The 21,738-nt window shown below is 56.5% G+C and overlaps 2 protein-coding genes and 1 non-coding gene across 15 annotated transcripts, besides 7 other annotated features; 1 reads left to right on the top strand and 2 right to left on the bottom strand.

Annotated features, from left to right (window-relative positions):
- Positions 59-168: an enhancer, noted in NCBI's record as "active region_20907". NCBI's record gives its function as "activates an Ori minimal core promoter by ATAC-STARR-seq in GM12878 lymphoblastoid cells {active_cell/tissue: GM12878}" and the evidence as "EXISTENCE:reporter gene assay evidence [ECO:0000049][PMID:35858748]".
- Positions 92-7,316, top strand: ALG3 (ALG3 alpha-1,3- mannosyltransferase). 4 transcript variants are annotated; one of them, NM_001006941.2, is made up of 9 exons: positions 92-391; positions 3,805-3,904; positions 4,002-4,149; positions 4,259-4,419; positions 4,896-5,016; positions 5,621-5,826; positions 5,987-6,063; positions 6,660-6,804; positions 6,941-7,288. In NM_001006941.2, the coding sequence occupies exons 1-9, from the start codon at positions 340-342 to the stop codon at positions 7,101-7,103; spliced, it is 1,173 nt and encodes a 390-aa protein (NP_001006942.1). In that variant the 5' UTR covers positions 92-339; the 3' UTR covers positions 7,104-7,288. The 4 variants fall into 4 exon arrangements, 2 of the variants coding, with proteins under 2 accessions (NP_001006942.1, NP_005778.1); NR_024534.1 differs by lacking the exon at positions 92-391 and adding an exon at positions 646-835; NM_005787.6 differs by lacking the exon at positions 92-391 and adding an exon at positions 655-872 and having other exon boundaries at positions 6,941-7,316.
- Positions 199-258: an enhancer, noted in NCBI's record as "active region_20906". NCBI's record gives its function as "activates an Ori minimal core promoter by ATAC-STARR-seq in GM12878 lymphoblastoid cells {active_cell/tissue: GM12878}" and the evidence as "EXISTENCE:reporter gene assay evidence [ECO:0000049][PMID:35858748]".
- Positions 339-388: an enhancer, noted in NCBI's record as "active region_20905". NCBI's record gives its function as "activates an Ori minimal core promoter by ATAC-STARR-seq in GM12878 lymphoblastoid cells {active_cell/tissue: GM12878}" and the evidence as "EXISTENCE:reporter gene assay evidence [ECO:0000049][PMID:35858748]".
- Positions 587-1,330: an enhancer, noted in NCBI's record as "NANOG-H3K27ac-H3K4me1 hESC enhancer chr3:183966075-183966818 (GRCh37/hg19 assembly coordinates)". NCBI's record gives its function as "activates a minimal SCP1, AML or CMV promoter by ChIP-STARR-seq in primed H9 embryonic stem cells {active_cell/tissue: H9 hESC(primed)}" and the evidence as "EXISTENCE:reporter gene assay evidence [ECO:0000049][PMID:30033119]".
- Positions 1,331-2,074: an enhancer, noted in NCBI's record as "H3K27ac-H3K4me1 hESC enhancer chr3:183965331-183966074 (GRCh37/hg19 assembly coordinates)". NCBI's record gives its function as "activates a minimal SCP1, AML or CMV promoter by ChIP-STARR-seq in primed H9 embryonic stem cells {active_cell/tissue: H9 hESC(primed)}" and the evidence as "EXISTENCE:reporter gene assay evidence [ECO:0000049][PMID:30033119]".
- Positions 7,288-20,032, bottom strand: VWA5B2 (von Willebrand factor A domain containing 5B2). Of its 10 annotated transcripts, none has more exons than NM_001320373.3 (20): positions 19,821-20,032; positions 18,950-19,237; positions 18,700-18,870; positions 16,163-16,439; positions 15,884-16,041; positions 15,220-15,351; positions 14,862-14,986; positions 14,309-14,464; positions 13,355-13,465; positions 13,066-13,274; positions 12,868-12,979; positions 12,206-12,391; positions 11,143-11,314; positions 10,744-11,057; positions 10,034-10,223; positions 9,581-9,928; positions 8,689-8,826; positions 8,510-8,593; positions 8,213-8,430; positions 7,288-8,127 (listed from the first exon to the last, which is right to left on the bottom strand). In NM_001320373.3, the coding sequence occupies exons 5-20, from the start codon at positions 15,912-15,914 to the stop codon at positions 7,579-7,581; spliced, it is 3,075 nt and encodes a 1,024-aa protein (NP_001307302.1). In that variant the 5' UTR covers positions 15,915-16,041; positions 16,163-16,439; positions 18,700-18,870; positions 18,950-19,237; positions 19,821-20,032; the 3' UTR covers positions 7,288-7,578. The 10 variants fall into 10 exon arrangements, with proteins under 10 accessions (NP_001307302.1, NP_001377771.1, NP_001377773.1 ...); NM_001390842.1 differs by having other exon boundaries at positions 16,208-16,439; NM_001390844.1 differs by having other exon boundaries at positions 16,220-16,439.
- Positions 7,402-7,696: a silencer, noted in NCBI's record as "tiled region #15257; HepG2 Repressive DNase unmatched - State 25:Art". NCBI's record gives its function as "represses a minimal TATA promoter and a strong SV40 promoter by Sharpr-MPRA in HepG2 cells {active_cell/tissue: HepG2}" and the evidence as "EXISTENCE:reporter gene assay evidence [ECO:0000049][PMID:27701403]".
- MIR1224 (microRNA 1224) lies at positions 8,128-8,212 on the bottom strand. The gene has a single exon (NR_030410.1). It is a non-coding gene; the product is annotated as a microRNA 1224 (primary transcript).
- Positions 19,925-20,264: a silencer, noted in NCBI's record as "silent region_14958". NCBI's record gives its function as "represses an Ori minimal core promoter by ATAC-STARR-seq in GM12878 lymphoblastoid cells {active_cell/tissue: GM12878}" and the evidence as "EXISTENCE:reporter gene assay evidence [ECO:0000049][PMID:35858748]".

Raw genomic sequence — 21,738 nt, 5'->3', positions numbered from 1 at the left:
TGTCTCCGCCCACCACCTGCAGTTGCTCAACACAAACACGTGGAACTTCCGTCCTTTACTAAGCGCTCTTCGAAGAATCCTCCGGCTGGGAAAACTATCGTCCAGACCCTGAATCCTCCGGCTGTACTGCCAAGTCATTTCCTAGGGCCGCACTCAAGGTGTCAGACTCACGTGGGCTCATCACTGCGTCCTCTCATATTTTCAATATGAATGACTTTTATCAGGAAATCTGAAAATTAGTGAAAGGTTCATTTTTCTCAGCATCCGGAAGGCTCGAAGGGCAGGCAGGAGGGGCGCGAACAGGGGCTTTGCCCTCCTGGAGAGACAGCATGAACACAGATGTTCCCAGCGCAGGCGAAGGAGAATGCTGGCTTCAGCGGTTGTGGGGGAGGTAGGCAGGAATGTTGCTTTTCTGGACATTCGTTCTAAATTAGCGCCTGTGTACCCAGGGCTGGGTATAAACTGAGGAGTAAGACATTGTCCCTGCTCCTATGGAGCGTGGAGTGCATCAGAGGAGACAAATGCAGAAAAATTACATTTTAGTGGAGTAAATGAAGACTGGCTACTCGGATCGGCGCTTAGCCTGGTGGGACGCCAGGCACGGGAAGCGGAACCTAAGTGTCGAAGGTTCGGGTTTCCGGGGGTGGTGGGCCCACACAAGCGGCGCACCGTTAAGATGGCGGCTGGGCTGCGGAAACGCGGCCGGTCCGGTTCCGCGGCCCAGGCAGAGGGACTCTGCAAGCAATGGCTGCAGCGCGCCTGGCAAGAGCGGCGCCTGCTGCTGCGGGAGCCGCGCTACACGCTGCTGGTGGCCGCCTGCCTCTGCCTGGCGGAGGTGGGCATCACCTTCTGGGTCATTCACAGGGTGGCATGTGAGTGCGCCGAGGGGGAGGGGAGGGGAGGGAGGGAGACCTGAACCCGCGACCCAAACTGGATCTCAGACCTGGAACTCCAAACCAGACTCTGTATCCACTCACTCGTCAATTGCGAACCCATCCATATCCCTTACCTGAGCGCCAAGCCTGCTCTACAGAAAACCGGATCTTAATCTGCCCGCATGGCAGAGGTGGATACCCTAGAGATTGGCCTTCTGCACTGAACTTACAGCCTGCAAACCAGCTTAGAAGTCAGATTTGAGCCAAAATTGTTGTACTGCTGCTGCTGCTGCTTTTCTCTGTGGCTTTGGACACCTCAGGTCTCCTCCTGGATCTCAGCTTTTTCCATGTGTTCAGTTCTGTGATCTTTGAACGTCCCTTCTCAATGATGGCATCTTGTGACCACTTGAGTCCATTAGGCATTATTGGCTACTCCTTTCCAGGCTGAAACTATACTCTAGGCTTAAGGCACTTGGCTTTCTTGCTAAAGACTCTTAATTCAACAAATATTTATTTAGTGCTTATTATATGCCTAGCATTATGCTGGTTACCAGAGAGAGGTACAGTGGTGAATAAGAGATGCATTTCTGCCGGGCGCGGTGGCTCACGCCTGTAATCCCAGCACTTTGGGAGGCCGAGGCGGGCGGATCACGAGGTCAGGAGATCGAGGCCATCCTGGCTAACACGGTGAAACCCCGTCTCTACTGAAAAAAAAAAAAAAAAAAGAATTTAGCCGGGCATGGTGGCGGGCGCCTGTAGTCCCAGCTACTCGGGAGGCTGAGGCAGGAGAATGGCGTGAACCCGGGAGGCAGAGCTTTCAGTGAGCCGAGATCACGCCACTGCACTCCAGCCTGGGCGACAGAGCAAGACTCCGTCTCAAAAAAAAAAAAAGAAAAAGGATGCATTTCTAACTCGGGCCTGGACAGTAAGTTAGCAGGCAATTATAATGCATCATAATCATGGTAGTAGTAACACAGGATACCATAAAGGGCATAGGAAGTCACTTAAACCAGGTTGGAGGAGTCAGCAAAGGCTTCATAGAGCCACCCTTGGAAGGTAGGAATTAGCTATTTAAGGAAAGAAGAAAAAGGTGAGGGGAAGGAGTGCTGTGGACAGAGGATCCTCTATTAAAAATCTCCAGCTAGGCTGGGCGCAGCGGCACACGCCTGTAATCCCAGCACTTTGGTAGGCCTAGGCGGGTGGATCTCCTGAGGTCAGGAATTTGAGACCAGCCTGGCCAACATGATGAAATCCTGTCTCTACTAAAAATACAAAAATTAGCTGGGCGTGGTGGCATATGCCTGTAATCCCAGCTACTCGGGAGGTTGAGACAGGAGAATTGCTTGAACCCGGGAGGTGGAGGTTGCAGTGAGCCGAGATTGCGCCACTGTACTCCAGCCTGGGTGACAGAGCAAGCTCCGTGTCAAAAAAAAAAAAAATTCAGTTAGACTGGGCACGGTGGCTCATGCCTGTAATCCCAGCACTTTGGGAGGCTGAGGTGGGCGGATCACTTGGGGGCAGGAGTTAAAGACCAGCCTGGCTGGGCACGGTGGCTTATGCCTGTAATTCTAGCACTTTGGGAGCCCGAGGCGGGCAGATCACCTGAGGTCAGGAGTTCAACACCAGCCTGGCCAATATGTTGACACCCTGTCTCTACTAAAATAGAAAAATTAGCTGGGCATGATGGCAAGTGCCTGTAATCCCAGCTACTTGGGAGGCTGAGATGGGAAAATGGCTCGAACCGGGGAGATGGTGGTTGCAGTGAGCTGAGATCGCACCACTGCACTCCAGCCTGGGTGGCTGAGCGAGACCCTGTCTCAAAAGAAAAACAAACAAACAAACCAGCCTGGCCAACACGGTGAAACCCCATCTCTACTAAAAATACAAAACTTAAAAAATTAGCCAAGCATGGTGGCACACACCTGTAGTCCCAGCTACTCGGGAGACTGAGGCAGGAGAATCACTTGAACCCGGGAGGCGGAGGTTGCAGTGAGCTGAGATCGTACCACTGCACTCCAGTCTGGGTGACAGAGTGAGACTCTGTCAAAAAAAAAAAAAAAAGAAGACAGCCTGGTTCCTTTGAGGAACTGAAATGATTTTTTTAGAGCTAGAGTGTAGAAATCAAGTGAAGGGAGTAGTAAGAGATGGGAATGCAGAAACTGAGGCCAGATCATGAAGGAATTTGAAAGCTTTGTTAAGAAGATAGCATGATAATTAAGAACTTGGGACCCTGCAAGCTTCAATCCCAACTCCACCATCCTAGCTCAATTATCTTAAGCCAGTCACTTAACCTAATTAATTCTTAGGCTCCCCTTCAAAAAATGGGAATAATACAGAGTTTTCTTTATCTTAAGGGTCTTGGGGAATCATTGAGAGGTTTTAAGCAGAGGCCTGTTATGATTTGTATTTTAGGAGGAGCTCTTTGGTGTACGAGGTGGAAAATATATTGTAGCAGGGTGAAAGTAGAAGTCAGGAGCCTAATTAGCAGGCTATTGTATACTCATTGGGGCTAGAGATTACTTTAGGCTCAAATTTGAGTATGTAGTAGCAGAGAAGGATGAGATAGAGATATTTACGGTGAGGAACAGGCAGAACTTGTTGACGAAGGGTTGCAAATGAGAGAGGAGGGAGTATCAAAGATGTTACTCAGGTTCGTGACCTGGTAGCTAAGAGGTCGGTGGTGCCATTTGCGGAACCCAGGAAAAGGAGTAGATTGGAATGGGAAGAAAGATCACAAATTCACTTATAGAAATGTTGAGTTTGAGATGCCTGGGCTCACCCAGAGAATGTCAGATAAAGAGTTAGATTAAGAGGTAGTAAAGCCCTGGGAATTGGCTGAAAGTCTGTGTTTTGATGGTCTGGAGGCATGGGGAGGGTGGCAGACAAGTTCTAGACTCAGAAGTAACCAGATCATCTTGTCTTCTTCCAGACACAGAGATTGACTGGAAGGCCTACATGGCCGAGGTAGAAGGCGTCATCAATGGTACCTATGACTATACCCAACTGCAGGGTGACACCGGACCACTTGTGTGAGTGGGGACAGGAAGTTCAGGGAGGATGTGAGGGGCTGGTTAGGTACTAGTCTGTGTGACCTGACCCAGGCTCACATTTTCTCTCATCTTCCAGGTACCCAGCTGGTTTCGTGTACATCTTTATGGGGTTGTACTATGCCACCAGCCGAGGCACTGACATCCGCATGGCCCAGAACATCTTTGCTGTGCTCTACCTGGCTACCTTGCTGCTTGTCTTCTTGATCTATCACCAGACCTGCAAGGTGAGTCCATGCTACCAGGGCTAGAGGGCCCCAGCCTGGGAGGGCTGGGTGGTGGGGATGGCTCAGGCTTGCTGAGCTGACCTTGTACCTTACTGTGTTTTCCCTTTAGGTACCTCCCTTCGTCTTTTTCTTCATGTGCTGCGCCTCTTACCGTGTCCACTCCATCTTTGTGCTGCGGCTCTTCAATGACCCAGTGGCCATGGTGCTGCTCTTCCTCAGTATCAACCTCCTGCTGGCCCAGCGCTGGGGCTGGGGTTGCTGCTTTTTCAGGTCAACACCTCTTCCTTTCTGGTCCCCTCTCGTTTTCTGCATTTCCATCTCTTCCCAATTTCCTGCAGCAGAGGGAGTAAAGGAGTAGCCAAGACAGCATGGGTCACTCAGGGCTCCACAAAGCGAGTCCAGGATCTATAGAAAGTTTCTGCCCTGCCATCCCCCAACATACACACATGCCCTCTTTCCATCCTGTCTTCCTCCCAGACAGCATTCCTTGTTGGAATTAGTCCTTCACATTCTAAATACTCAGTATATGCTCATTCGCATCTAGTAGGCATAGAGACTATGTATCTGCCTCCTGCCTACTCCAGGCTCTTCCCTCCAACAGTTGTGAGTGTAGGTCCCATCTTGGAGTTTGTTGGCGTGGCGGCGGGGGGGAGGTTGCTGTGGTGATGGTGGGGGGTATGTCTTTGGGTGTTGTGTGCATGGCCCTGGAGCTGATCTCCACCCTTCCTCTCCCCTGCTCACCCCAGCCTGGCAGTCTCTGTGAAGATGAATGTGCTGCTCTTCGCCCCTGGGTTACTGTTTCTTCTCCTCACACAGTTTGGCTTCCGTGGGGCCCTCCCCAAGCTGGGAATCTGTGCTGGCCTTCAGGTACCCCCATCTCACCCTTCCTCTTTCTAATCAAGGAGAAGCCACTTGTCTTGATTGAGGGGCTCTATCCCTGAGACTCCCTCAAAGCCAAGAGACAGGGTTTTGGAGTTGATTCTGAGCTAGGGAGCCACTATCGCTAGGCTGTAGTTTCCATAGCTGTAAAATAGGGTATTAAATTTGATGGTCTCTGAGAGCCTTTTTGCTTTTTTTAATTTTAAGTTTTGAGATGGGCTCTTGCTGGGTTGCCCAGGCTGGTCTCAAACTCCTGGGCTCAAGCAATCCTCCTGCCTTGGCCTCCCAAAGCGCTAGGATTTTGGGCATGAGCCACCCTGCCTGGCTTCTGAGAGCCTTCCTTGCTCTGCCCAGTTATGACTTGGTGAATCCACACCTTAAAGCATTGTTATGACCTGCCTCCTGAGCTTCTTTGGCCCCAGGCACTGGCCTGGGCCGGGGGGTGGGGAACGTGGTTTTCCTGCTATTTCTAGTGGGAATTGGGGAACCTCTGAGGCCTACATCCCCGTCCCACACCCCTCAATGAGTAGCATGAAGGCTGGTCATTGGGAATGAGCCTTGGCAGCTCTGCTGACATCACACCAATCCTCAGGTGGTGCTGGGGCTGCCCTTCCTGCTGGAGAACCCCAGCGGCTACCTGTCCCGCTCCTTTGACCTTGGCCGCCAGTTTCTGTTCCACTGGACAGTGAACTGGCGCTTCCTCCCAGAGGCGCTCTTCCTGCATCGAGCCTTCCACCTGGCCCTGTTGACTGCCCACCTCACCCTGCTCCTGCTGTTTGCCCTCTGCAGGTGGCACAGGTGAGAAAAGGCAGTAGTGCCATGGGCAGAGTTGGGGGAAGGAGTGAAGGGCCTAAGCCTTAGGGGCTGCTTGGGGGAAGTGTCAGTTAAGCTCATGGGGTGAGTCTAGAGTTTGACTCACAAAAGGGGCTTGATAACTGTCTGAATGGCTTTTCTCCAGGACAGGGGAAAGTATCTTGTCGCTGCTGAGGGATCCCTCCAAAAGGAAGGTTCCACCCCAGCCCCTTACACCCAACCATATCCTTTAAATTGTGGGAAGGTAAGTCTTGCCCTCTCTAGGTGCTGACAGAGTCCTGGTCAGGTATCCCTTGACAGCTGGTGACCTGGGCGAGGAAAGGGGACCCCAATCATAGAAGTCCTATTCTGCACCACTGTGCTGAGCACTTCACATATTGAAGGATATTTGATTCTTAATTCTAAATACGAGCTACTCTTATGAGTACTTCTCCCTGGTACTATCATAAGAGATTTACATATGTTCTAATATTGAAAGCTCACAAGAGACCCCGAGACAGGGAGGTACACTTACATTTACTATTCTCATTTTACAGATGGAAAAATTAAGACTTCATGAGGTTAAGTAACTTACCAAGGTCACACAGCCAGTAAGTTAGGGGTTCAAACCCACAAGACCTTATGGCCCTAGGTATTACTCTCTCCATATTCCATATTTGGTTGAGGAGCAGGTCCAGAGAGGTTAATAAACTTGCCCAAAGGCATGCATCAAGGAATGGCAGAGCCAGAGGGCTATGTGACCTAAAAACTATTGCCCCTCTGTTTTGGGATAGTCCCCCCCACACACACTCCTGCCCTTGGCCTTGACCACCGCATACAGATCGTTTCTACCCTCTTCACCTCCAACTTCATTGGCATCTGCTTCAGCCGCTCCCTCCACTACCAGTTCTACGTCTGGTATTTCCACACACTGCCCTACCTCCTGTGGGCCATGCCTGCACGCTGGCTCACACACCTGCTCAGGTACCAGCTGGGACAACCTGGGGGAGTGGGAAGGGATAGGGAGTTCCTGTTGGGGGTTTATGTCTAGGGCATGAGGAGCTGCAGGTCTGCAGGCCTTGCAACTGGATGAAACGTGGAACCTGTTTCTCATCTCCAGGTTGTTGGTGCTGGGGCTCATCGAGCTCTCCTGGAACACATACCCTTCCACATCCTGCAGCTCTGCTGCCCTGCACATATGCCATGCCGTCATCCTGCTGCAGCTCTGGCTGGGCCCGCAGCCTTTCCCCAAGAGCACCCAACACAGCAAGAAAGCCCACTGAAGTCCACCCCTTTCCCTCAGGACCTGAGTCTACCCTCAGGACCTGGGGTTGGTTGGACTCTGCCCTTCCAAATAAACCTTGCTAAGTCCAACTCTGTGCAACCTACATGGAGGTGGGGGCAGCCGATGCCTGGTCCAGGCTGTGAGGGACACGTATGGAGCAGATAAAGAATTCACTCAAGCAGTCCTAAGAGGCACTTTATTGCATAGGATTTGGGGACTGTGGCTCTCTACCCTTCCACTGTGTTGCAGGGAGCTCAGAGGATGGAGGGGAGTGTGAGTGGGGTGGGAGGAGAGGGAGAGAGCACAGGCAGGCACTTTTTGTGGGGGCAAGAGGGCTCTAGGGAGGGAGTAAGAAGCAGTGGGGGACAGGCTGGCACCAGCCTACACTTTCCCAGCACCAAGAGGCCAGCCCTGGGCGGCAGTGACTTGAGTGTGTTGGGTGGGGCGCCAGCCCAAGCAGCAGGGGGCAGCCTTCACACGTTCGCTGGGCTGTAGCACAGCAGGTGTAGCTGCAGGTTTTGGTCCCAGTGGCGCAGTAGCAGGAAGAGCCCTCGGGCTGCGGCCTTGAGGGCGGCCAGGTCAAGGCCGTCAGGCAAGTGCTGGGCCCGCAGCCAGCAATCAGCCTTGGCCGCTGTCAGTTCCCACTCGTCGAAGGCAGCGGCGCATCGGTGCTCCAGCCAGGCGAGTGCTACGGCAGTGGCCCAGGTCCGGCCCCGCAGGTCGGTGCCGCCCAGCCCTTCCGCCCCCTCGGAGGCCTCGGTGTCTGAGCCCCGCCCACTGTCCACCTGGCCTGGCCCCTCAGAGCCCGAGCTGGGGGACGGGCTGCAGGAGGCCGTGGCACTGTCACCCTGGCCAACACCAGGGCCCAGAAGTGCCCAGGGCAATGAGGCCGAGGTGGGGCTGAGGCTGGCGCGGTGCACGGCAAAGGGCGAGGCACGGCAGAGGCGCTCCTGCGAGATGCGCACAGCGGCGCAGAAGGGCGCGTCCAGGCGGAAGGAGCCTGGTGCCTCCTGCAGCCGCACCTGAGGAGAGAGGAGGTGGGGGGAGAAGCGAGCTGAAACAGCGCCCGGCCCCGGCGGCACCACCCTCCACCTCCCGAGTCCTCACCAAGGGCAGGTAGTCATGGTCGCTGCCTTCACTGTTGTTGGCCTGGCCCGGGTCAGGGCTACAGAGTTTGTGACGGCGGCCCATGCTGAGCCGACAGGGAGGACGGGGAGGTGGGCGGCGAGGACCTTCCGTGGGAGTGGCAGGGTCCCCCAAAGCACGCTTGGAGTTGCCATTTTGGTCCGAGTCCCAGGCGCCTGCTGGAGAGCCTCTCTGAAGTCCTGCAGTGGGGATCATCAGTGCCAGGGGGCGGTCTCTAAGCCCAAGTGCCCCTACCCTTTCCCTACCTTTGGGTGTTACCTTTAGAGTAGACAACAGTGGGCAGAGGAGCTGCATCTAGATGGCTGTGAGAGGCAGGAGGGGTTCCTGGGGGCTCAGCGGGCTCTGCAGGGGCACATGGGACAGGAGTCAGGTTTGTCCAGGAGAGTGGCCAGTGAGGTGAGAGCTGCACCTGAGAGGTCACCAGAAGAGGCCCCTACCTGAGCTGCACACCTGCAGGGCCCCAGGCAGGACCTCCCTAGTAGTAGCATCCACAGCTACAGGGCAAGTGAAGCAGGAGGGGGCAGAGCTGACCTTACTTGTCTGAAGGGCTCGAAGCCAGCACCTCCGGGCATGGCCTGTGGAACCAAGGAGCAGTCTGTGGAGCCCCCACCACCCACCCTCTACAGAGGGCTCATAGAAAAAATTGCAGTGTTCTCCCCAGCTTCTCCCTCTATCGACTTTAACAGAGTAGATTGCCTTGCTAGGCCCAGAACCAGCTCAGACTCCCCAACTTTGACAAGAAGTGATCAGGCTGAATCTTCAACCCATAGCAGAGCAAGAGCCCCCTGGCTGCCCAGAAATTCAGCACTCTGGACAACACCCAGAGGAAGCATTAGCTGGCACATTTTCCTCCACCTGCTTCTGCACTAATAAAACTTGGAAATGTTCTCTCTCTTCATGATCCAATGTGGTAGCCACTAGTCACATTTGACTATTGAGTACTTCAGCTGTGGTTAGTGCAACTGAGGAAATGAACTTTAAGTATTTTCCTAAATGACAAAGATTTGTTTTTACGTTGTGGGTGCTGTGAATCATGACAGGATCACGTTGCCCTCTGTGCTGGCTGCTAGGAAGCTTGTCAGTTCTGGATCTGATCCTTGCAAGAGTATATAACCTCACAGCATGCACCTTTAATATAACCTCATTCTCAGTTTCCTTTTATTTTTACTTTTTCCCATTGTCCCGCTTAATTTTTTATCTTGTCTGTGATGAGCCTCAAATCCTTTGTGATCAAAGCGAGGTATAGAGAGTGATCAAACACACAGACCTCTACCTTTGCTGTTTTTAGCCCATGCCTTTGGGTCCTGACTGGACCCATGAGCAACTCACCCCGGTCAGCTGTGGTCTCTGCCCCTCCTCGGAGGGCCAGCTGCTCATTGTCCCGGACCACAGAGGCTGCTGTCAGCCGATGGAGTGCTTGGTCCCAAGCAGCTTCTCTTACAGGAGGTGAGGGAGGCTGTGAGCCATCTCCAGGTCCCCACAGTGTCTCCAGCCCAACACCCACCTCCCAGCACATGGGCTGCTCCCCACACAGGCCCCGGATCACCACATGGCAGCGTGGAGCCTGGGGAGGCACTGCTGGAGGGGCCAACTCCCCACTAGGAGGCACAGCCGTGAATAAGAAGGGTGGTTCCATCAGCATGTCCCAGTCCATAGGGGCTGGGGAGAGCAGGTTTCCTGGGGAGGCAAGACAGCAGGGGCATGGGCAGAGTGGTCCTCTGGGCTTTACCTCCCCAAGGCCTCTTTGGTGTCAGGGAAACCAGCTCCCCATCCAACACTTACCTGAGTCATCCAGGCCTTGTCCCAACTGTTGGCCTGGCTCAGGACTTGGGCCATCTAGTATTGCACCCAAAGAGGGTTTCCGGGGTCGGCCGGGGACTTGGTTTGCCCGGCCTGGAGGGGATGAGAGGCTTCGGCCAGCCAGAGCCGCTCTGTGCTGACGGCCCAGCACCTCAGTACTCAAGGCCCCCACCTGCATGTGAGATATGGGGGCCACTGGTCAAGGAATGCAGAACCCTTGACCATCATACATGGGTGCACAGCTGGCCCATGCCCCTTTTCTGAAACCCTGGGTGGCCGCTCACCAGCTTGAGGAGGAAGGCCAAGTTCCTTATGGCCTACAGTGACCTCTGGCCTTGGCCCCTTCCCAGCATCATCCCACTCCACTCCCTATTTCCCACTTGTGGTTGTTGCTTGTCTCTGTATTTTCGTTTATGTCTTCTCCCTCTCTGCATGGCTAACTCGTGCTTATTCTTCCAGATATGGCTCTGACTTTCCTGACTCTCTCAGGCAGAATTAGTCACCCTGACTTTAAGCCCCCTTAATACATGTCCTTGTGCTCATCACTGGTTGTTACATGGTATCGTTGGGGATTTACCCACCTTTCTCTCTAGCTAGACTTAATAGTAAACTCTACATAATATCTGGTGCACAGCAGGTGGTAAATAAATATTTGCTGGATACAAGGCGAATGAATGTGGGTTGGATCTCACCTTGAATGGAGCTGGTGTGGGTGCAGGCAGGGGACAGGAGCGGGAGCCTGCAGGTTCTCCCCAGGCCAGACTGCGGCAGCCCTGCTGAGAAGGGGGCTCCAAGGGAGCACTACCTTCGGGGGAGCCAGGGCCCTGTGAGCCTGGGGACTCACTGCTGCCTGTGGAGCCTGGGCCTGGCTCGGGGCTGGCAGAGCAGTGGGTGAGCACATACTGCTCCCGAATGTACGAGGACTGAAAGATGCGGCGCCATATGGCTGTGTCAGAGGGGTTGGGTCCAGGATCCGTGACTGGGTCTGTCAGAGCATCAGTACCTGCTGGGAGGCAGTAGAATGGGCCCTAGCCCTGACCCCTCCCAGCGCCCACTCCAATACAGCCACACACATACACCTGGGCACTCACTCTGCTCCGAGTCCCTGGCAGCCCATGGGCTGGACAGTTCTGCTGAGACAGTGCCTGTTCCCAGTGGCTCTGAGGTGCCAGTGGGCTCAGTGCCAGGGCTGGCAGCAGACGGGGCCTCTTCTGGGGATGGAAACACGGACCCACCCGAGCTCTGCCAGCCAGGCTCTTGGCCCTAGAGAGAATATTATTGGGAAAAAAATTAACTGCAGTTATGTGCTACCTCTTTCCAAACATTTTTAGATGGCTCACAGCAAGAGGCAACAAAGCTAATAAACCAGAAACAAAAGACCAGTACTAAAGAAGGAGGAAGCAGACATGTTCACTGTAAGGGTTAATAGAGCTGCTGGGAAGCTGAGCTTTAAGTTTGGCCCTGAGCTCCCTGGCAGCCAGGCAAAAAAAAAAGTCTGTTATGCAGCTCTCATGATCAAAAAGGAGGAAGCGTGCAGAGTTCTTCTAAAGAGATAAAGCTTTTCATTAAAAAATAACTACCATGTCCCCAGCTCCTACTGTGTCAAGTGTTCTGCCAGGAGTACTCACTTTATGACCCCTGATGACAACCACCTGTGAAAAACCTCATTTCCATATGAGGAAATGGGTCAGTGAGGTGAAGTGACTTGCTCAAATCAAATGGCTGGTAAGTGACAGAGCTGGGATTAGAGATTGTGCCTAGGTTATGCTCATCCATCACTGCGTGTCCCAGAAAATACGCTGGCTGGTGCTTTCTATAGGGAACTATGTGAAGCCATGAGCAAGCCTTGACGGAAACCTCATAGCAAATGCAGGTGCTGTTTTCTGTGGCTGTGTGCTTTAGTGACCTTGGGTAAAAACTGAGGGGTAACACTTTGCAGGACAACTCAGTGGAAGACTCCATGAAGGGGACAGGGTGTGGTCATCTTAGGGGGCCCAGTGTGATCTCTGTGGAGTCCTAGGGGATAGTAGAGAAGCTTGGTAGAGAGAGGCACAGAGAATGGAAAAAGGGTTTGGAAGAGATGCGGGGACTTCAGCCATCCCAGGCCCCCCTACCTCACCCTAGCCCCCCTACCACACCCCAGCCCAAGCTTACCCCTGGTGGGCGGGACCGGAAGCCATCCACCCTGAAGAGTGAGCAGTAACCGAGCAGCTGGTCCCCAGGGTAGAGTGCTGGGATCTCCCGGGGGGTCAGCAGTGCCTCCACAGTGTCGGGCACAAACCAGTCCACAGAGATGTCACTCAAAGCAGGCTCCAGTGCCTTCCGCAGAGCCTGTACCAGCTGTGGGGAGTGGCCACAGGGAAGACATGGGAAGGAAAGAGGTGTCATACGGCCAGACAGAGCAGGAAGGCTGCCCTTCCCCTGATGCCATCTGCCCAGCCCCTAAGCTGATGGGGCACAGGGCCAGGCTGGGGTCAGGAGAAGGAATGAGGGTAGGAGCAAGCAGGGGGCTGAGTGCTCAGCCCTCAGGATTTGGTCTGTCTCCTGGCCTGAGCTTTGCCACATGGATGGGGCAAGACTGTGAGGACGAGGCTCCGTTCCAGGACTAAATGGGATTCAGAGGGTGGTCAGAGACAGTGTCCTGACACCTTTGGCCTTCACAGCACCAACAGCTCTTCCCCTGATTGGAGTGGGGAGAAGGCCTGGTGAGGGCGCCAGGAGCCCCCATGGCCTGCCTGAGTTCTGTTTCAGACTTGATGTGTAACTTGGGAGAAAAACTTCCAGGTGTAGGGAACAGGGCCCAGGCTCAAGCTCACCATGGGCTGCAGCCTCTGCCCAGGCCTCAGGAAGTAGGCCTGGCCTCTGCTGAGGGCAGATAAACCCTGGAGCAGCTGGTGGCAGGTGGGCCCCAGCCCAAAGGAGAAGCATCTGATGAAGGAAAGGAAGCAGCTGTGATCTTCAGGAGCCCCTTGTGGGGGCTCAGTCTTACGCATCTGGTTCTGCCCATCCCATACCTGGCTGTCCCCCTGTGCCACCTCATGAGCTCCAGGGTTCGGTGGGTAGTGGCGGCCATGGGTGAGGCAGCAGTGAGCAGGAACAGCTGCCGAGGGTAGGCCCTGTGCTGGGGCTGCCCCACGGCCCAGTCCAGAGCAGCCAGCACGTCTGGGGGCCCACTCGGAACCTGCAGGGTCTCAATGCTCTCGCAGATCAGCTGCACAGCATCCTGGAGCGAGAAGGCACAGGCTGGGACGCACTGGGCTGAAACCTCTCTGTAAGGCCCCCAGATCCCTGGACCACACTCACATCACTGCAAGGCCGGCTCTCTGGGAAGAGTGGCTGCACCAACGTCCCAAACACGGCCAGGTTGATAAGCGTCTGGGGCGGGAGGGACTTCACAGCCAAAACAATGGCATCCTGTGGAGGGCCAGGGAGGGCGGCGTGAGGCCGGCCCCATGGGCCCTGATACAGAGCAAGGGAAGCCAGATCACTGCGTTATCCAGGCTGTGATTCAAGTGAGAGGCTGTGGTAACCTGGGAGAGGCCCTGGGTGTGAGGGAAAGTGTGCCAGTGAGCCCCCAAGTGTGTGTGAGAGACTGTGTGGGACTCTGGAGGTACACATGACTGTGTGTGGGACTCTGGAGGTATACATGACTGTGTGGGACTCTGGAGGTATACATGACTGTGTGTGGGACTCTGGAGGTGTACATGACTGTGTGTGGGACTCTGGAGGTATACCTGACTGTGTGGGACTCTGGAAGTACACATGACTGTGTGTGGGACTCTGGAGGTGTACATGGCTGTGTGTGGGACTCTGGAGGTACACATGGCTGTGTGTGGGACTCTGGAGGTACACATGGCTGTGTGTGGGACTCTGGAGGTACACATGGCTGTGTGTGGGACTCTGGAGGTACACATGGCTGTGTGTGGGACTCTGGAGGTACACATGAAACTTGAGTGTCCCTGTGATTGGAGTGACTCCCTGTGACTGAGTGCGAGTCTATGTGTGAGAGGCTCTTGGAATCCTGGAGAGATGTGTGTGCGTGAATATGAGCAAGAGAGCGTGACAGTGTCTGTTTGGCGGTTGGAGCAGGGCTGCTGTCTAAGGGAATCCCCTGAGGAGTTGCCATCTGCTTCCTCTTTGGAAGATGGTGTTTGAAGCAACAAGGTAACTCCTGGCTTCAAGAGGCTGCCCCCAGCCCTCCTCAGACCCACTGCCCCACCCAACCCCCAGGCCTGCCCACACCACACCCCCACGGGCCTTGTGTGCCACGCTGCTGCTATCCAAAAGGAAGAGTAGCTCCCGAGTAGCTGTCCCCAGGTGTCCGGGCTTGGAGCTCAGGTCTGGGCAGAAGCTCAGCGCCAGCACGGGGTTCAGCAGGATGTCCTTGTGGAAGCGTCGCTGCAGGAACCACACCTGAGCGGGGGAGTCCCAAGTCAGCCTGGGCAAGGCTTAGTGCTACTTTGTTGAGGGTGGGCAGTGGGACTGGCTCTGGGGCCTTTTTCTGTCTGATCCACCCAGAGGGGACATCTTTTTGTAGTAATTCGAATAAAGGCAGGAGCAAAGGCAGGTGGCTGTCTTCTGTTTATATCAGACCTAGCCTCCATCCTCTGAGACACACCCCAGAGAGATTCACATCGGCCCTCCAATGACAATACTCATCTGTCCTCTGTGATGGTTGGTGGCAGCTGTGGAGAGATCTTACCGAGAAAAGAGGCCTCCCCGCACCCATTCCAATGTAAGCCTGCTTGCCTGCTCCTTGTGCACAAATGCAGCCAAGGCCAGGGGCCAGGCCAGGCTCCTATGGCGGTACCTGCCGGTCCCCATCACTGTCCCTTCGCTGTAGCCTCTGAAAATCTCGGCGGGCCCTCACCCGGGCCTCATATTCTGCTGAGCTCAGGCTGCCGCCCTCCAGCATCAGGTGTGGCTGATGGGGCTCTGAGAGGAGAGGACACAATTCTGTCAAGGAAGGCCCTGCCTCTGGACCCCAAGTGCCCAGTTTCACTGTCCAGGAGGAGCCTGCAGGTCCAGCCTTCCTGCACCACAGGCTCTGCCCTCACAGATGACTCAGTCCATCTGGCTGGGGCCCAGAAACCTGCACTTAAGAAATGCTTCCCCCATTCATGTAGAAGCAGGTCAGAGCCGGCCCACGGTGTGTCCCAGTCTCTCACCACTGGGGTGCAGCAGGATCTCCAAGGCCCGGTCACAGTGGTGGCCCTCTGCCAGTGTGACACAGATGGTGGCTGCAGAGCTGGCATGAGGGGGGGCATCTGCCCGCAGAGCATGAGAGGGGCTCTCCAGGCCTGAGGGACATAGAGGCAGGAAGGGGAGATGTAGCCATAACACCTTCCCAGGGACAGCAAATGTTGGCAGGGGTCATGGCTGATTCAGTCAGCTCTCAGAGTCTGATCTATATGGGGTCAGATGGACGAGGGAGGATGTGCCTGCTTTCATGGGCTGGGAAGTAGATTCCAGCAGGGTTTCTGGCTGGTCGAAGAGTCATGCATCAGCCAGGTGCTGATTTAGCATTCACCCCCCACCTTCTGTGTAAGGAAAACCTACTTCATCACAGGTACTAGTCCCATTGTAAGTATCTCTCTTCCCACTGCTGGGTGGGATGAGATATAAATAAATTACCTTGATAAAATTGGGGTGTGTGTGTTGGGTAGAGGTGACCAGGGGATGCTCCCACCACTAACCCAGATGTTCCGGAGGCTGGGGTCCCTGTCTTTTTGTCCTGTGTCCCTCCTATCCCTGAGCCTTATTTCCCTTCCAGTCACTACACTGGGTGGAGTGGGCATCTGAAAAGAGGGCAGGCCAGCCAGATGCACCCACCTGCAAGCAGGCATGGCCCAGTCACCAGCATCTCGAAGGAGAAGGTATATGGGGCAGGGCAGCGGGCAGGGCCTGAGAACACGTCCCGAGGGGCAGCCAGCTCCTCCCAGGCCAGCCCTTCCTCCTGAAGGCTGCCCACCCCGAAGCAGCTGGTGGGGCTGGAAGGGAGCATGAGGAGGGTCACTGGGCCACTGTGAAGGCCCCTAAACCCTCCGGCTGACTGGCCCCAGCCCTTCCTCACCCTTCCCATCCCTGGGTACCCTGCCAGTGCCCCCTCACCCGCACTAGACCCAGAGAAGCCGAGGGAGGGACGAAGAGAATCACCATAGGCCCAACCTGTCGTCACAGAGCCCCGGAGGCCTGGGGGGCCCCGGCGGGCCTGGCGGGGCCAGCGGGGTGAGCACAGTGGGCAGGGCCACATGCAGCACCCCGTCAGGCCTTGAGGGCAGCTCCCGGCTGCTGTGCAGGGTCACCGTCATGGTGCCAGCCGCGGCGATAATGCCTGTGGGCAGCACCAACGTGGACCGGGCCTGGGCCAGATCCAAGACAAGATGACCTATGATGGGTGAGAAATGGGGTCAGAGCATGCTGGAAGCAGAGGAGAGGGAGGAAGCTAGATGTGGAAGCAGGCATTGGGTCAGGGAGCCTGGGCAAGGGGGACTTTGCGTGTTGGCACTAGGCTAATGCATTGGTGACGCAGGATGGAGGCATGAGATGAATGATGGCAGGAGAGGCAGACTAACTGTGAACAGATCTGGCTGTCATCAGGCAAGAGCAGCAGTGACATCCTTGCTAATGGAAGGCTGAGGAGAAGGGGCCATGTCCACTCTCAAGGCCCTGGGAATACCCACACCCTCTGCCCCTCTCCCCCTGCCTGCCTCTTTCCATTCAACCCTTGGCCACCATCCCTTGTGGATAGACATCTCCCTGTGGCCTGGGACCCCACTCTGCTCATAAATTTCCTGCTCCTGAACCATCAGGAGCTCCCCCATTGCCCACTAAGGTGGCTCCAGAATTCTCTACTCCTCCCGGGCAGGAGGAATAGAGAAGCAGGAAGCAGGCTGGAGGACATAAAGCTCCATTTGCACACTGCACACACTGTTTTATTTAGCTCCTAGGTTTGTTTGGGGACTGGTGGGGCTGCTAAAGGAATAATGACCAGCCATGTACAGTGGCAGCTGTGTACACCACCGACGTGGTCTGGCCCCAGCCCACGTTCACAGCCCTACTGTACCTCACTTCCTCACAATGACCAATTGTTCATCCTTTCAATAAATACTTGCTGAATAACTGAAGGGAAGAAAAAGATGGAAGGAAAGAAAGAAAGGGGCTTCCATCCCAGCCAACCGACACAGTGGAGACAGCACAGCATCAAGTTTTAAATATCAGCTCGGTGACCTCTAATTGAGTCCTTTGGCAGCTCTCTTGTTCTGAGGAGCCTGTTTCCTCATCCATAAAGTGGGGATCATAATAACTCTGTGATTGTGGTGAGGAACAAATGAGGCAATGTATGCAAAGCACCCAACATATAAGTCAGTGACCCCTGCTATGACTTTCATCCCCCATAACAGGAGGAAGGGGGATTATCCCCCTTCCATCCCCCATAACAGGAAGAAGCCTGCATTACCCACTACTTGGGATTCAAATGAGGTGATACTAGCGATTGTAAACTGTAAATCACTATAAACATGAGATATTTTATTGTCATTACCCACTGTAACCTACTTATAAGCATTTGCTTATACTGTTGCCCCTACCTTCCACTTAACTGAGTCCTACCCTTTCTTGCAGTCAAATGCTGGCTCTACCTCCTTCTGGAACATTCCTGGGGCCTCAGCCCAGAGCTCACTCTAGCCTCTAACCACAAGCCCCTAACGTGCTGGGCTTATGCCAGCTCTCAACACCACTGGATTCTGTTCCTCTTCTTCTTACCTGGATTGCAAATCCCCTGGGCAGGAATCAAAGCCATGTATGAATGAATCAATGAAAGAACCAGGTGCAAGCACAGCACACAGCACAGGGCTGGGCTTCTGTCCCTTCCCCGGGCACTCGCTGGGCCTCATAGTGCCAGGTTCTGTGTGAGGTGCTGGGATTTGGAGATGCTCCAGCGGGGAGACAGACAGGCAGATCTGTGACAATGACTCCCCCTGTAAGTGCCATAACGAGGGGGCACAAAAGGCTGGGGAGCCAGGAAACAGTGCAGCTATTTGTGGGAGAGTCAGGGAGGGTTTCCCTAGGAATGACGTTTAGTGGATCTTAAAGGACAAGTAGGAATTTGCTCAATAGAAGATGGAAAGACAGAGCAGAGAGTTGGGAAAGGACCTGTCAGTCAGTGTGGCCAGCGGCAGCGGTACCTGGTGTATGGGGTCGCTGGGAGAGGGATGGAATGGGGTGAGAGCGAGGGCCTTGGCTGCTAGGCACAGGAGTCTACACTTGATTCACTGGCCCACGCGGGGCCGGATTGAGGTGTGCAGCCTAAAATAGTAAGGGGCCGGAGGGGACCACCAGGGGAGAAGGCTCCCTTTGCAGCCCCCTAGAGAGACCGGTCTCCTGGGCTGTAAGGGTTGCTGGCGCCCCCGCAAGCCCTGTGCTGCCTGCTGTGTCTGTCTCCCAGGCTGTGAACCTCCGGGCCATGTTCTCCCAGCACCTGGCGCAGGTCAGGTGCCCAGCCCACGACTGCTAAATACCAGGATGAGCCAATGAATGCACAAGGCAGTGCCCGGAGGAAGGCGGGGGACGGGCGGAGGCCGAGCGGATGCGGGAGCCTGAGCTGCGCCCGGCTTTCAGGAGCGCGGGTGCGGGCGCGCGGAACTCACCCTGCGCGCAGCGGCGGGGCGTCGGGGTCCCCAGCCCCGGGCCCAGAGCGCGGCAGCAGGCGGCCTGCGAGCGGCGCCGGCTCTGCAGCTGGAAGGAGACGCGCCGTCCGGCGGCCTCGGCCTCGAAGCCGGACACCACCTCGGCCTCGGCCAGCGGGTACACGAACACGCCTGGGGAGGGCGGCGGGAGGCGGCGTCGGACCCTGCCCGGCGCACCCCCCGCCGCGCCCGCGCCCCACCCGGGCCTCACCGTCCACCGGCTGCGGCTGCGGGTTGCGGTAGGTGAGCCGGGCCCGCACGCTGAGGCAGGGGCCGTTGGCGCAGGCCCGGACCCAGGAGTCCGTGAGCGGCAGCGGCGTCCAGCTGGAGGGGCAGTACAGGCCGGGCATGGCGCCGGGAGGCCGGCCCTGCGGGAACGGGCCGGGGAAGCTGGGCGCAGGGTGACGGGACGCCCACCCCGCGCTCCAGAGGCCAGCGCGAGAGTCTCACTCCAGCACCCGGACGGGGCCTGCCGGGGCGCGAGGCCGAGCGGGAGCTCCTGAGGGCGACAGGTGGCGGGGGAGATAAGGGGGCGGCAGGCGTGGTGGCGAGGAGGGCATCCTCACGCGTTACCTGGGCAGCCGGGCCGCGGAGGGTTAATGATTAACGCGCGCTTCGGCGCCCAGCAGTCCCGCCGCGGCTCCCCCGGGGGTGGGGGCGGTCACAGCTGTTCCACCGCCCACTCCCAACCTCGCAGCCACCCCCGTACCTGCCGGCCCCCCGGGGCCCCCCGCGGCCGCCAGCTGTCGGAAGCGGCGCGGGTGGAGATGGAAGATGCTCCGGGAAGGCGGAGGTTTAAAGGGCCCGAATCCCCCCGGAGGCCCCCGGCCCTGCGAGGGATCGCGGGGGCAGGGTGGATGGGGCGCCGAAAGGGCCTTGGTCTTTCTCTCCCTGGTGCCTCATCCGACGGGGGTGCTGGCCGGAGTGGAGGGGTTAAGGGTGGGAAGAACGAGCTGGGAAAGCGAAAAGAGGGGGTCTTTGGGAGGCAAGCCCGGGAGAGGTGTCGGGCCAGGGAGAGTCCGTGGGAGCCGCCAGGTTACCGCTCCCTACCCCGGCAGAGCTGATGTGGGAGGAGGGGGCACCTGCAGTGGCCGCGGCCCGCGCAGGGGATGCCGCGGGCTGGCTCTGGGGATCGCCCCGCTCCCTGTGGCAGTCTCAGCCTCACCGTCGCGCCCTCCGCGGAGTTCTAGGTGCCCACGGGATCCGTGTGGGTGGTGCCGCCTCTGCGCTCCGGGTGGCCCTCGGTCCCGGCACCTGCCGGCCGCCAGTTCGTGACTGTGGCTGCAGCGGCTCTGAGTCCCGGCAGGGGCGCGGGCCCTGCCGGCGGTGGTCCCGCCCCCGTTCCGAGAGGCCGCCCCTCCAGCCTGCCCTGGCCACGCCTGCTGCTGCTGCGGCGGGGCTGGCGCTCCCCCCTCCTTCGGGCGCGGTACCGCCTCCGCGCCAGCCGCGGCAGCCCGAGCCAGACTGGGCACCGCAGTGCAGGGACCGCGTCCCCGCCGCCGCACGGATCCCCGTCACTGCAGGACCGAGGCCTCAGAGACCCCACCCTTTCCATTCTTCAGGAATCAGGCGTCCTGCAAGTGCCACCGACACTGCCGCGACCCCAGCTATCCCATTACCACGACGGCATCCCATTCCCCAGCCCACCCCACCCCCTGCCCTGGGTTGCTTCCCATCGCTGCAGAGACCCTCCCTCCTGACTGCAGCGAACCCCCCAGCCCCCCATCACCGTCACCGCAGGACTCTTCCCCCAAGAAGCTGGCCCCTTTCCTTTGCAAAGTGCTCTTCATCACTGCAGAAAACCTCCCCCATCCCTGCAGGTACTTTTAGTTCATGCAGCCACTTCAGTGACCACTCACTCCAAGCAGGGATTCCTCATCACTGCAGCGACCTCCTCCCACCCCCAAGCAGCCGGCCTTGGCATCGCTGCAGTGCCAACCACTTCTGCTGGGGTGGGAGGGTGTGCACAATAGCGCCCTCAGCCTATAACCCCTTGGTCTCTTCAGCTGTGCGGGCCTTGGGAGTGAAGCCTTCTAGCCTGAAGAGCCTTCTTATGGCTGCAGACCGTCCCCTCATAGCAGTGACCCCCACCCATCACCGCAGCCCTGAAGAGAAAACATCTCTGCTTGTCAGGAGGGCCCCTTGTTATTGGCAGACTTTGCATGTGCTTGACAGTGTTATGCTGTCAAAAAGTAGGAAGGTCCGGAAAACCTCTCCCAGGTCCCCCAAGGAAGAGTCTGAGAGCCCTGGGGAAGTGAGAGGAGATGACCATGTTTGGGGATCATCCATGTAAGCTTTTTGGCAGATGCCATACTGAGATTCTGCAGAGAGAGCTTGAGGAGAGCTGGGGATGGAGGACAGCCAGTAGGAAGTGAGCTTTCGAGTCGGGCCCATGGTTCTCACTCCTCCGCATTAACTCTCTCCTTCTGATTTCAATCACTATCACCAGGGATCATCCCCCCGGGGGATCCCTGCCTCCTTGAGTATCTGAGCCCTCAACCCCAACCATCTCCTTTGCTCACCCTACTTAGCATGGTGGAGAGAGCTTGACCTTTTCCCAGGGAATTTCATGGGTGGAAATGCACAGGAATGATACAGGGAGCACAGACACAGTCACACGTACCCAACACACAGGGAGCTCCAGCTGGGTCCTAGCCCTCTTTCCATACTACCTGGGTCATGGTTCCATTCACCTCTCTCCCCCTTTCTCTACTGAGTCTGTTCTCAGCTTCATCCTGAACGAGGGTCCCTCTTTCAGGCCTAGGGAGAAACAGTGGATGGGCTGATGGTCCCTCCAGGTGATCCAGGGCCTCAGGTAGGACCAGCCCTGGCCCTGAGGGCCTCACAAAGGTCCAGGCAGTGGCCACCTTTCCACAAGCACCTTGTGCTCTGCCCCTTCTACAAATGAACCAAGAGCTACATGTAGCCCTTGGACAAACATGAGGTTGCAAATAGCAGTCATTAGGGAGGTCTCCGACACATGGAAATGGAAAAAGAGGT

This window comes from Homo sapiens, chromosome 3, assembly GCF_000001405.40.
Source record: "Homo sapiens chromosome 3, GRCh38.p14 Primary Assembly".
In the NCBI taxonomy this organism is placed as follows: domain Eukaryota; kingdom Metazoa; phylum Chordata; class Mammalia; order Primates; family Hominidae; genus Homo; species Homo sapiens.
This window is presented reverse-complemented; position numbering and strand designations above follow the sequence as displayed.

What these genes read in the sequence shown, in the direction of transcription:
- ALG3 (NM_005787.6), top strand. Translation starts at nt 677, where the DNA reads ATGGCGGCTGGGCTGCGGAAACGCGGCCGGTCCGGTTCCGCGGCCCAG. An exon ending in GGTCATTCACAGGGTGGCAT is followed by an intron (nt 873 to 3,804) that starts GTGAGTGCGCCG and finishes GTCTTCTTCCAG; the next exon opens with ACACAGAGATTGACTGGAAG. An exon ending in TGGCTCACACACCTGCTCAG is followed by an intron (nt 6,805 to 6,940) that starts GTACCAGCTGGG and finishes TCTCATCTCCAG; the next exon opens with GTTGTTGGTGCTGGGGCTCA.
- VWA5B2 (NM_001390842.1), bottom strand. Translation starts at nt 19,088, where the DNA reads ATGCCCGGCCTGTACTGCCCCTCCAGCTGGACGCCGCTGCCGCTCACG. An exon ending in ACAGTGATGGGGACCGGCAG is followed by an intron (nt 14,465 to 14,861) that starts GTACCGCCATAG and finishes TCCCCCGCTCAG; the next exon opens with GTGTGGTTCCTGCAGCGACG. An exon ending in ACCATGACTACCTGCCCTTG is followed by an intron (nt 8,128 to 8,212) that starts GTGAGGACTCGG and finishes CTCTCTCCTCAG; the next exon opens with GTGCGGCTGCAGGAGGCACC.